This window comes from Homo sapiens, chromosome 5 (genome assembly GCF_000001405.40).
Source record: "Homo sapiens chromosome 5, GRCh38.p14 Primary Assembly".
Lineage (NCBI taxonomy): Eukaryota > Metazoa > Chordata > Mammalia > Primates > Hominidae > Homo > Homo sapiens.
The window spans coordinates 120,537,605-120,551,883 of NC_000005.10; the positions used below are offsets into that span (position 1 = coordinate 120,537,605).

A 14,279-nucleotide genomic window follows, 5' to 3' on the forward strand; every position below is an offset into this window, starting at 1 on the left:
ATTTGGCCAAGCAAGATTACAGAATTACCTTGCCCATGACTGAAGTTAAAGTGCTATTAGTGGAAGTGAAATAAAATTGGAGACAGCAAAAAATAAATTGTTTTTAAACTTTCAAATAATTTTGTAGTCAGAGATGGTGACCCATATAACTTGGAATTTTTAATGTTTTTTTTTTTTTTTTTTTTTTTTTGAGACGGAGTCTCGCTCTGTCGCCCAGGCTGGAGTGCAGTGGCGGGATCTCGGCTCAATGCAAGCTCCGCCTCCCGGGTTCACGCCATTCTCCTGCCTCAGCCTCCCAAGTAGCTGGGACTACAGGCGCCCGCCACTACGCCCGGCTAATTTTTTGTATTTTTAGTAGAGACGGGGTTTCACCGTTTTAGCCGGGATGGTCTCAATCTCCTGACCTCGTGATCCGCCCGCCTCGGCCTCCCAAAGTGCTGGGATTACAGGCGTGAGCCACCGCGCCCGGCCGTTGTTTATAATATAAGCATAATATTAGAAGATACTTTGAAACATACTTTCTGCTAAATAAAGAGATTAAGACTGAGTTGTCTATTCATTGATTTCATTTATGTTGAATACTTAATATTTAGAAAATACAAGCAAGTTATTATTGTTTCCATTTTAAATTTGAACAAGATATTTCTACCATCCTCTTTCAAGCTACTGGTTTAGTTTAATTGATAAGCATTCTGAGATTTTTAAGGGAAGCTCTTGAGAAAACATAGCATTTTCAGTTGTATTTCTATGAGTCAGGATTTGTCACTACTTTGCAACCAAAATGGAATCCACACGTAATTTGTCTGTAGGAACAACAGTCATCTATAAACCTCAACTGCAAAATTTTGTGTTGTTAAAATACATGTAATTCAATTTATTGGATACACATACTGCAATTTCGAACTTACAAACATTAATATATGCTATTAAAATGCCACTTTTAGTGGCGATATAGGGGACCAAATAAAGGTTTCTGCTGTTAAAACATTTTGATAACTGCTTGGTGGTTTGAATTTCTCAGAAATAAAAGAAGTACAGGTCTATAGGGTGCTTTTATAAACTGAAAGCATCTTCAGCATTTGCATTAATGTGTTGCAGTTGCAGAAAAAAAGAAGGTTGTCCTTGCTTCCCACACTCTCCTAAATGGTTCCAAATAATCTTGTTCTTTAAGGTATCAGTCATCTGAATTACCTCACTGCTCTCTTTCCCAGTAGTTATAGTTGGGCCTGGAGTAGGTTGAGCATGTGCAGCCTGCTTAGGGCTACTGCTGGGAGAAAGTGTTGGCTGCTGACTAGCAATTGCATCGTGAGTTTGTTCCCTGGAGGAAGACTGTGAAAAAATGAGTGAAGTAAAATACAGAGAAGGAAAATTGGTTTGAAGGAAAATGGCTAAATTAGGAGCAGACGAGACCACTCCAAGGACAGAGAAGGTACTTGGGCTCCTGAGAAAACAGAAAGGAGTGGCTCAGTATGGCTGTTAGCATTTTGTGAAATTTCTGACAGGCAACTTTGACGCCATTTCTACACCATAAAGAGAAAAACTGAAGGAGGTTCTCATGAATATTTTCTTTTGAAGAATGCTAGGTTTTTAAAATCATAGTATTGGCAAAACAAAGAAACAGTAAATATTATTTTCTAATAATATTAGAAAATAATATTTTTTCTAAATATTTTCTAAATATTATTTTCTAATAATATTTTCCCTGGAAGATTAAAAATATTTTAAATTAATATCAAATATTTAAAATAATAACAACAAAGAAACCAAAGCCAAGAAGTAATGCCCATAGATATTCCAAAGGATTTTAATATAGATTTTATTCTGAAATTTATTTAAATTACTACTAAATAATTATTGAATAGCCATCTAATACTTTAGTGGATTTATATGTTATCTTCAGGAAAAATTTTGCTATGGATGGGAAGAGGGTGAATAATGGAAAACAACCTATCGGGTATTATACTGATTACCAGGTGACAAAATTATCTGCATACCAAACCCCTGAGACATGCAATTTACCCATGTAACAAACCTGCACATGTGCCCCTTGAACCTGAAATAGAACTTGAAAAGAAAAAAAAACAATGCTATCTGTGTCAGTAAAAAAGGGTGTAGGAAGAGCATTTTGAGTCATGAGATTCTTGTATTATTCATTGGTTAATGAGTATTTAAATTATCAGTTGTGTATAATGTAATTGGATGTTGTGAAAAACACTGTATGAATATTAGGTTTTTTTTTCTTTTTTTTGGATGAGTAGTTAACATGTGTAATGGTAGAGATGACCGAGTCATTTTTAGAGTCTATTGTGTTTTATATTATAGGTTCTTGCTGTTTCAAAATCCCTTTTTGGTTGAAATTCATGCCTGGCACTTTTAAAGCCTGAGAGTACAGCTGCCTTTCCAGAGGCTCATACCTGGGTAGAGCTTGCCACGTTTTGAGTTTATTTTGAAACCAGTTTACTTTTGGTGAACCTAACAGGGCTTCTTATTTTGATGGTTCATTAGAAGAAAAGACAGCAGTAACAGTGTTTTGTTTTATTTTATTTATTTATTTTTTAAATTGAGCCAAGCACATTTACACATTCCATTTTTTTGTTCTTGGAGAGCCTCCCTTCAGGCCAGGACACAAATTCTCAGCAGGGCAATTGCAGAGGCCCCTGAGGAACCTCTTATCTGTTTGCACACAGCAGCTAGATTGTATGTTTTTGAATTCAAATCTAGAAATGTCTCTTTCCTCCTTAACATGATTTTCGGGCTTGGTCTTGCTTTAATCAGAAAATCTGAGGTTTTTAGGACACCATCCAGATTTCTTTCTCAAGTCCTTATAAGGCCCTATGTGCCCTGGCCGGGCCTCTCTTAACCAGGTTCATTTTGTACCATGTGCCCCTAGGCAGTTAGTATTTTGGTCACGTAGCCTTGTATACTGTCCCTTGAAAATATGATGTCCCTTCCTGTCCTGGACTTTAGATATGTGGTATTGCCCTCCACCTTCCTCTCTCCTTTGGTCTGTCCTGACCAACTCTTTCCCATCCTTCAAGACAATTTATTTATGCCTAGTGTTCCATTATTGGAACGCTAAGCATCTGGGAGTTATTTATATCCTACTGCTCAAGGTCATCACCAAGGTCTGATTGCAAAAATTCCAAAAATTGCAACCTCAGGAATAAATGGGTTATAAGAACTCAGCCTCCTAGTGACCACAGAATAGATCAACACTCTCTTTTTGCTCTTAATATTATATACTGCTACTTTCTAACGTGTCATATCACAACTGTAATTAAATTATTAATTTTGTGATTGGAACTTCATTTTCAGCCCACCCTGACAGAATGTAAGCTCTGTTTAGGCACCTGGAACAGTGCCATGAGCATGGGGATATGCAACAAATGCATTTAGACGTACACATACACACATACATGTATTTTATAAAGAGATTCTTTAGAGGTCTTATAATTGATTGCTTTAGTATTTGAGGCAGGACAGAGGTAATACAGACTAGATATATAACAATAAATGACTGTTTCGTTGTTGTTGTTTATTTTTGTTTCTTGTTTTTTTTGGAGATGGAGTCTCAGTCTGTCATCCAGGTTGGAGAGCAGTAGCGCAATCTCGGCTCACTGCAACCTCTGCCTCCAGGTTCAAGTGATTCTCCTGCCTCAGCCTCCTGAGTAGCTGGGATTACAGGCACATGCCACCATGCCCAGCTAATTTTTGTATTTTTAGTTGAGATGTGGTTTCACTATGTTGGCCAGGCTGGTCTCAAACTCCTGACCTCAGCTGATCTGCCCACCTCAGCCTCTCAAAGTGCTAGGATTACAGGCGTGAGCCACTGTGCCCAGCCAATGACTGTTTTTTAAAAGCCTGAATGTTTTTGCTTCCCAACTCTGTGTCATTTCTCGTCACAAGGTGTGATTTTGTTACGTCTAGACCAGTATGGACATTAAACTGTGCATTCTACTTTCAAGAACTAATGACAAGCAATTAAATAATATATTCAGCTACAGCAGATTCGGGCTTTAAAATGATTGCTCAAGGGCATTTAAAAATATATCTGTTTCCTAATATTTAGAGTTTTATACTTTCATTTCTGCCTTCTTTTTTTATAATGAAAGTTAGTCTTTGGAAAGAATTGTGGCTCTAGATATGGGAGTGTTCCTGCCAGTATAACTGGGGTCATACAACTTTCAGGGCTTAAATAGGCTTTGTGGAATAGATATTTTCATCAACCAAAAAGACATTTCCTCCAGGATATCTTTGCCACTTCCTATTCTCTTGATCATTTTTGAGTTATCAGGCAGAATTTACCCCCTTCCTTTCCTCTTTTTTTTTTTAATTACAGTTTTGAGCACTCATTTTAGCCACAGATTAAAAATAAGCAATATAGCTTCTTGATACTCCCTTGTTGAAACCAAATGATTGACATTTCTTTTCCTCTAGGTGTTACAAAGAACCTCGGAAAGGGATACCACTTTATTAGCTGAAACTATTTTTGTGTGTGTGTTATATTTCTCAGGGGCACTGTAATTCAATTTTTGCAGCAACTTTTGGGCCTTGTTAGTGCCTCGAGTCAGCTTGTTGCAAGGTTTTGAGTGGTGATACTTATGCTGGAGTAGCTTTTTGAAAAAGTAAATAAATATTTTCTTCAAGATAAATATATAACTTCTGTTTTTACTTCTAACTCGTATGGCATTCTCATCTTTATTAATGGTTTCTCAGTATTTTTAAATATTCCTTCTATTTTGGAATGATTTTAGATTTATAAAAAAGTTGCAAAGATAGTACAGGGAGTACCTATATACTCTTCACCCTCTATCACTATTAACATTTTCGTTACATGATACACTTGTCAGAAATTAAGACATTAACATGGATAAATTAATATTAACAAAACTCCAAACTCTATTTGGAATTTACCAGTTTTTCCATTAATGTTCTTCTATTTCAGGACCCAAACCAAGATACCACCTCTCATTTAATCTCCATCTTTTCAACATAAAAACAAAAACAGACAAAAAATGAGATAGAGATTAACCAAAAGATTGATGGATCCAAGGTGTCATGGTCTATGTCAGTAATGAGAAGAACCAGGATGGTATATCTTATAATTACATAAGTATGTATTTTGAAGGCAGTGTCATCCCCTTGCAGTATTGTGTAGCTGGTACTGAAAATGTTCTTTGAAGGTGGATAAGTTTTTGCTTATTCACATTTATTTGTCTCTCTTGTGACGACACCTAAGATAGTGTTTATATTATTAGCAGTCATTCTTTAAAGAATCAAGAATAGAAATAATACAGTCATTAACGAGTGATTATTCAATGTGTGGTTTTATTGCTGTGTTTTTAACTATTAGGAAACTATTTGATGACTTTTGAAGATTCTAAGTTTTAGAATAGGTAAGAATAGAGCCTTTACTGAGGATTATTACATTTCTGTCCTTTTAAATAATTCATCTGATTGTAATATGTATGGCATGACTTGTTTTTATTATAAATCCATAGGCTGAAATATAGTCCCCTTACCTTTCAGATGCAGAGATTCAACTTGTAATTATCAAACTCTTAAGAAAACGGTTGAGCTTTTCCTATATTGTAAAATACTTGCTTGGGAAATTTTTGTAAAATACGTCAAAAACGGATGAAAACTTGCTTAAAACTACTTAATAGGTGTTTAAGAATTATATGTAGATGCAAGAGTGTGGCATTTGGTGAGCATATCGTGGGGTTATTTTCTTCCTTAACTGATGCAGTAATTTTATGAGCCTGGTGTTGACTTTTATCTGGGGACCATTATGTCAAATTATATTATGGAAACACTTCTCATTTTAGTCACTTAGAAATCAGTCACTTATTTCTAGATATTGCAGTGTAACTGGATTGTTCATACTTAAGAATATACATTATGTAGTAATTAATCTATACCAGTATATAGTCCTTCAATTGAACATACACTTGGAAATTGTAGCTAAATAAGGAAACTGATGTGAACAAAATATGATGTCGGAAAGAACAGAATAATGATTGCTAATATTTTATTTCTATCAGAAATGTCCATATTACTGATAGATCATTTACACATAACCACATTACATTGGCTTTGTTATGCCTCAGCAATGATTTTACTGCCTTTTATTTCTGAAAATTATGTAACTAAGGGCAGTTATGCATAATTCAAATGACATTAGGATGGGAGTGAGGAGAACTTACTTCTCATCATGGAGCTATTACACTAACTCTGTGATCTCTGGTATTTTACTTGTCCTCTTTGAGTCTCAGTTGCCTCATCTGTGAAATGAAAAGTTTAGACTAAAAACCTCTAAGGAGTGTGTTGGCTTTACAGATGGATGATTTGGTAATTCTTTGTTTTTTAATCATGAAGAGTTGTTATTCAGTGTTTGTCTGGCTGTGGAGATAATCTAGGCTAAATCATGGATTTCTGTAATAACCCCTTGGTCTGTGCGATCATCATGGGAGCAGAGGTCTAAACCAAAAGTGACAAATACAAATGCTTGAAGTTGTCTGCTAGGTACAGAACTGAGTGAAAAAGGAAAACACAGGGCCCTGATGACCCAGAGAATCCATGCTCTTTCTAATGGTGCAGTTATTACTCAGCTGCTAGGGACTGTAGCCCAGAGGAATGCCAGATCTTCTGACCTTTCAAAGGATGCTACACAAAAGGCTATTTATGTGAACTCTCACAATCTTCAAATGTTAGCACATAATTTTATTTAAAGAAATTCACTCTGTGGACTAAATTAAATATTCAGTATGCCGGAACCCATCCTTTGTATGCTAGTCTGTAATTTCTGTTCTATTTCAGTAGACTTCAAACATTTTTGCTCATTCCAACATTAAGCAATGCCTTTCTCATCAAAACCTAGTATATGCACACACATGTATGTGTATGCATGTGTGTATATGTACAGCTATTTATGTATATGACACTAAAACCAAAACTTTATACAATAATATATATAATACAATTGTGTTTTCTATTTTATTCTATATGACATTTTTAAATTCTGTTCTGTATATTTTTATTTTATTTCTTGAAAAAAGTAATCACACTCACATTCATAAAGTCATTCGTGATTTACCAATGGGTTGACTTATTTTTGTAGAGATAGGGTCTCACTATGTTGCCCAGGCTGGTTTTGAGACTAGGAGGCCTCAAGCTCAGCTTTCCAAAATACTGGGATTACAGGTGTCAGCCACCACACCTGGCCAAGGGTTGACTTCTTGTTCAGTACTCTTTTGAAAAATTTAGATGGCAGTATTCTTGGTACTTGAATATGATTTTCCCACATACAGATCAGAAATCTGAAATATCTCACAAGTGATTTTCTCAGCTTAATCTTAAGAAACATTCCAAAACCACTGTATATTTATTGTTTGCTGATGATTTGAGATTTCCTTGTAGCCCAAGTCATCAGTACACTGGGAAATAGTAGTGTCTCCAAGAAGACAAGACTGAGCACAGAGGTAGGAGAGAAGAGACAGAGATATGCTATTTAGGAATCTAAATTTGAACATCACATTTTTTCTTCTTTTTAATTGCCTACAGATGGCATTTTTTTCGTGCTTATTCACATGCACAGAGCTGTGTCCATAAGCATCCTTGTCTCTTCCAAATGTTTTAGTGTTTTTCTGGCAAATAAAATTAGATTTCGTTAGATAATAATTATACGTGACATTATAGATTGGATTCTGTCCATTTGATTTATATTATTACTAGACACTTTATTTGAAATAAATCAGTGTTCTCTACATAATGTCAAGTTCATCAGTAAAGTTTCAGCTTTCATATCTTATAATTTTACAGTTGAAAACTCATGTATGGTGGTGGCTTTTATAATGTCACAAAGAAGTCTGAAAAAGCTCACCTTATACTTTTTATTCTTCATGTGAATAGGGCTTACATTTACTGATAAAAATTATTAAACATATATAAAATAAGCACTAAATAAGGTATTTAGTGCTTTATGAATTAAATTCTTTTGAAAATGTTGCATGGTGTATTTTATAATTTTATAGATATCTGTGGAGAAATATCCTAAAACCATATATTTTGCTAATGAATTATTGAATATTAATACCATATTACACTGCTCTTAGTGAATCATTTGTATCATCACAAATAAAATTTTAAAAATTTGGGTAGCCTTAGATTTGATCTTTTTTTAAAAATACTTTCTTTAAAACACATTTGATTCCTAATTCCCAAACTTAAATTGAAGGAATATGTCATTCCTCAACAGCTTGAAAAGTAGGATGAGTTCTTGCCAATTTCTTATTAAGTAATTTAAAATATACCCAGAGGCTCTATTTTGTATTGATTTTGATAGCATGGTTAGGTGATGGTATGGCCTTCTACTATTAAGGTCGACATGGACCAGCATTTGTTGAGTTCTCACGATGAAAAGTGATTTTCATACATTATTAATTCTGAGACCATTGGCATAAGGGTATTTTTATCACTTTCATTTTACTAGTAAGGAAGCTGGAGTTAATAACAGTGTTGCAACGTTAGTGGCAGAGCCCATGCTCTTAAGTATCATGTTGCTCTATATCCATATTTAGTGTAACAAAGATCTACTCACAATCTGCTGATAATTACATCACCACACTTCTTAGAATACAGTGGGAATGGTTATATACATAAGCATGGTTAATATTCATTCAATACACAATGGTAATGATGTACCTGGTGGATTATGAAAATACTGCAAATTTTTATAAATCAAAATCAGTTGTTGCTCCATAGTGCTCCCTCCCTACCACTCAAAGTCTCTCCCCAGTACCTCAACAGGTCTTCCATCATTAAAAACTAGAAGATTCTTGATTGCCTGTTATTAGCAGGAACCAGCAACAGCATGGCCCTGTGCTCAGGCCCAGGTTGTTTCTGAATGGCTGATTTGGTCAATTGATTGCTATATAGTTTGAAATCATCCCTGCATGTCAGTGTTTAACTTGAGGAGACAGGTATCATGATTTGTCAACTAACACTGCTTAATCTGCTGAAGTAAAAGCACACAGTGTGAAGATGAACAAGGATTCAGCTAGAGATTTTTTTTTCAGTTCTTAGGAGAATTGAGAGTGAACATGGAAATTCAGTCATCTCAATGGAAGTGATGCAGGGCAGTCAAGCCCCCAAACTGGGACTTAGCCTGGAAGGGTTCTTGGCTTCACCCAGAAAAGACCTCAAGGGTGGCCCACTGGTAAAAGAAAGCAATGTTATTAAGTGTTCAGTAGAGATGTTTCTCCTTGCCTAGCAGCACTAACCCATAGGCCGTGTCTCCAGAGTGGCAGTATATGGGCTATCGGCTAGTTATATCGATACTCACTCTTAGTTACATGCCAATTAAGAGAAGGTCATTTAGAACTTTCTAGAAAAGAGATGGGGAGTTGCTGGAAGTATAAAAGGTAAGTTTTGAGATGTTGCTATGGTGCATTGCCATGGCATTTGTAAATTGTCATGGTGCTGGAGGGAAGTGGGAGTGTCTTCATGTTAATGAGCAGTTAGGGCAACTAGAGATTCCTTTTGTCACCATCTCCAGGCTTTACCTGGCTTACTCATTGACCAGATCCTACTCCAATTAGCATGCTCAGAACCAGAAAAAAAGTGAGGCCTATCTCCTACCTCAAGCAGGCCTTGATGAATTCTAAAGAGCCCAAACCATTATCCATTTCCAAGGCTGGCAAAATACTCCTAGAGTCTTAAATCCTTTATTCCTGAGAAAGTACTTTAAAAATGGGTGGGTGGCAATATGTAAATTCTTGGTATATAATCTTGGTTTCCAAGTGAGACAGGAAACAAGGATACTTCACCGAATCCCATACACTCATGGCCTACTTAAGAAGGTTGGCTGAGTCTCTCTAAACTTAGAGCCTCTGTTTACTTTTATATGTGTTTCTGCCCTTGGAAGGCAAATTATCCTCATTTCGATGCATTTTCATTTTTTTTTTTTACAGTAGTAGCTACTATCTTTTGGCATTATCTGTAAGAACATATTGATAACAACAAGGTTGTGTTTTGTTATCTGCCACAGGATGTTAAAAGAACAGAATGTCAGTCACTGAAGTGAGCAAAGTACTTACTTATTTGAAAATACTTAAAAATTTCTACAGCAAGTCCTTTCATACTGTGAGACTTGTAAACATTCAAAGGAGTGTGAAGATCTCTGAGTCTATATGGATATAATATATACTTATTTCTTCAGAAATTGATTAAAATGCCCAATGACTTTACCAATTTTTATAAAAAGAATGCACCCATACAGGCAGTAGATGAGACATGTTATTCAATTTTCATAGAAGTTTACTTTAGCAATATGAAAAAAAAGCCAGATAATGAGAATAAAAATACCAAACTTTATGATGAATAACTATGATAAATTATAGATTTAGGATGAGTTTCCTCAGCCTCTGTTTGCTGGCAATGACAGTGCTAAGTCTAAAGAGATACTGAGGACAGTAGAAAGTGTTTTTCAAGTAAAGAACCTTGATTTTAGAAAAAAACACAAAAATGTATGGCCCTATTTTCAAATACTGTAGATAGATCAGACATGATTTACATAACCATTTACTTTGTTTCCTAAACTGTACCTACTTCTCAGTAACCAACTGTAAATATATTCACTTTCTTGATACTCAGCAATGCTTGCTTACCTGAGCACATGCAGACATTATTTTTTGGAGGTAGATATGTCAATGTTTTCTATTCAGCATTTTTACATTATTGCTACACTTATACAAGTCTCTCCTTAAAGCTCAGCTAGCCTTTAGTTACAGTTCTTTGAGCAAATTTTTAGAACAATCAATAATCAAAAGAAAAATATTGAAAAATAGTGTGCACTTTTCACTACTGGCTAAGCGTAACTTTTTCACTTTAGTTGAATCAGGGTTGTTATAAAGATAAATTGGGAAGTGTCTAGAAAAATAACAACTCAGTTATTTTAGGCTGTTTGTGTTCTTTCTGGATGACAGAGTAACTTCAGTTTTAAGGGTCAGATGTTACTATTAGCCCTCAAGTTTTGTGCTTGTTCTTTTGTTGTCCTGGAACTATCTTTTATCAGTAGAACTGGAAATAAATTAGGGCTTGACATGTTCTTTTCATGGATTGATTGTAATGTATCATTGTGAAGGCGTCTGACTTGCTATTGGCCAAGAGGTGACTAAGGAATCAGGGAACAGACAGTGATATACACCACTGCGTGACTGCCATCCTATCTGTTTTTAGTATGATTCCACAAATTTGATTTTGATGCATCGAACTGAGTTTAAACGCACTGATACCTGAGTGCTGAAAACATTGAGACATGCTGAAAATAAACTGTCGCCTCTTACTGTCTTTTCATGCATGTACACACACACACACACACATGCACACTCATATATCCATTTGACTTCGTTTCCTATTATAAAGCCAAGTTGCCATTCTAAAAGAGCATATTGACCTGTTTTCCTCATACCTCCAAGTTGCCTAAACTTGCATGTTTCTCTTTTATTGATTGATTGATTGAGAGAGGCTCCTCCAGGCTGTAGTGTGATGGGGTGAATACTGCTCCCTGCAGCCTCTACTTCCTGGGTTCAAGTGATCCTCCTGCCTCAGTCTCCCAAGTAGCTGGGTGTATGTGTGTGTGTCACTTCACCCAGCTAATTTTTTTGTTTTTATTTTGTAGAGATGGCATATCGCCATGGTCTTAAACTCCTGGGCACAAGCCTTGACCTCTCAAAGTGCTGAAAATATCGTTGTGAGCCACCACACCCAGGGCCCAGGCTCCTTTATTCTTTAAAAGAGACACTTGTTAGAATAACCTTTTCAAAACACAAATTCCAATGTGTCCTTCCATTATTAAGAATTGGAAGTGGCTCTCTGTGGTCTGTTCCATCAACTAAAATCTCAGACTGGGTTGTAAGACCCTTCTTTATCTCTGGTCTTTCTATTTACAGAAACATTTCCACTATTTTTTCATTGTCTGCAGGACTCAGGCAGGCCTCCTTTCTTTCCTTCAGAACATCTTATAATTTAGGAGCTAAACATGTCTTGGCTAAAGTAGATAGGGTGGGACACTAACAATTACAGTAAAATTCAAATCTCGTAAGCTTATTATATTTTATGGGTACATATTTGTTTTACCTTGACTTTAGGTGATTAATTTGAAAATTAATTAATTTAACAAATGCTTTTGGAACACGTACTATCCACAGAAACATTGCCAGACACCTAGGGATACAATGCAGAGTAAAAGTAGTCAAGTCTCTGACTTTCTGGAGTTTATGTTTTATCCTGAGGTACTAAAATTTTATAATTCCTCACAGAAATGTACAGTTGTAACTCTCATAAACATGGTAAAGGATGACTAAGGGGATGTGGCCTACTCAGGAAAATCAGATCAAAACTTTCCTAGAAGAAATTGGAGAATGTATCAAAATTAACTGAATGACAAGAGGAGATTAGTATATGCTAAACAGAGAAAATGTGATTCATAAAAATGTTATTAGAAAAATGAGATATTGCACAGGAAGTCCCATAGCATTTATTTGTCATTATTACTAGAAAAGCATCTTCAAGCAAATAGTCCTGTATTCCTGCTTAATAACCACTCTAAATATGAAGTTCGAGACATCCCAACATTTTTTGAGAAATAATGGATGTGCATGTTGGGTTTGAATAGCTTGTCTTAGTTTTTCAAAAAAATTGAGTAGAATAGAAATTACTTGACTGTAACAAATATGGAAAAGCCCAAAGAAGTAAGTGACAAAGTGTGGGTTATGTTAATTTTACAGGCACAGGGTGTAGGGCATTCCTGAGTTCAGTGGTGAATAACTGAAGATGAAATAAAGTTTTAGAGAGCAGCTACACTCCTATTCCACTCTGATGAGAGGAAGAACATTTCCATTGCCTCTTGTGTTGATTAAGACCGACAGAAATGAGTGGACTTCAACGCATGCAGTAAAAGGGTGTTTGAAAAATGCATCATCTCTGAGTCAGGCCTGGATTTGAATCCTGGTGCTGTTATGGAGTGACTTCCCCACTGGAAAATAGAAACAACACTAAGAGGATTAATTAATATTTGTGTAAGTGCTCAGCATAATACCTTCAACATAGCCATTTCCACCATTATTTTGTGTTTTTCTTAACCCTCATTCCTTCCTTTCTCATTGTTAACATGAATTTTAAAATTCAGTGTGCCTAAAGCAGGGAAGGACAGAAATTGGCAGATGCCTGATTATTTCAGTATTTTCATTCCTCTTTACCAGCTCTCAATACCGTTTCTCCTTTTTGTTTACTCAAGTTTACTAAGTATACCTGACAAAAAATTGTATATATTCAAAGTATACAATGTGACGTTCTGATACATGTAGACATTGTGAAGTGATTCATACAATCAAGCTAATTAACATATGTATAACTTCACATAGTTAACTTTGTGTGTGTGTGATGAGAATATGGAAAATCTACTCTCTTAAAAATTTCAACTGTATAATACGTTATTATCTGTAACTATAGTTACTGTGCTGTGCATTAGGGTTCCAGAACTTATGCACCCTTTGAACAACATGTCTTCATTTCCCTGTCATCCTTGGAAATCTTCTACTCTATATTTCTGTGAGTTCTACTTTTTAAAATTCTGTATATAAATAAGATCATGCTGTATTTGTCTTCCTGAGTCTGGCTTATTTCTCTTAGCATAATATCTACCAGGTTCATCCATGTTTCTTCTTTTAAAAGACAAATGAAAATTTGACTTTTATAGTCAGATGAGCTTAAGTTAAAATGCCGGCTCTTTCGCTAACTGGTTGTGAGACCGTTAGCCGGTTATATCATTTCACTTGCCGCTTCATCGTCTATTAAATGTGGATAATAAGAACTGCCTCATCAAGTTGTTGTTCTCTTAGCATAGGGCCTGGCATATAATCAATGTATGATGAATGCATGGTAGTTTCTTTTGTATACTGGAAATAAGTCAAACTTAAAGTTAAGCTTTAGCAAATATCACTGTGTGTTAAATGCAATGTTTTCTACGAACTACCAATGATTGTTTTGATCAGTGGTTAAGACCTGTGCATGTATATAAATGTAGGATATGATGAACATGCTGAAGAGAAACTGCTGTTGATGTGGAACTAATGTCAATGCAGGGGTGTGGAGAAAGACCTCGGTTGCACTGGAAGGGTTGCTTGGCTCACTAGAGAGAAGATACTAGTAGGTTCTCTGACTTGGTAGAACAGGGTCTCTTGCTATGCTAGCATCATGTCTTCTACATTTAATAAATA

At 35.6% G+C, this 14,279-nt stretch overlaps 1 protein-coding gene across 7 annotated transcripts in view; it reads left to right on the forward strand.

Moving 5' to 3' along the window:
* PRR16 (proline rich 16) overlaps window positions 1-14,279 on the forward strand; it is a 330,317-nt gene that overhangs the window by 73,327 nt on the left and 242,711 nt on the right. The window contains exon 1 of one of the 7 annotated variants that reach the window (XM_011543452.3): window positions 13,538-13,611. The gene's annotated coding sequence lies outside the window, so the exon portion shown is untranslated. 7 annotated transcript variants of the gene reach the window in all.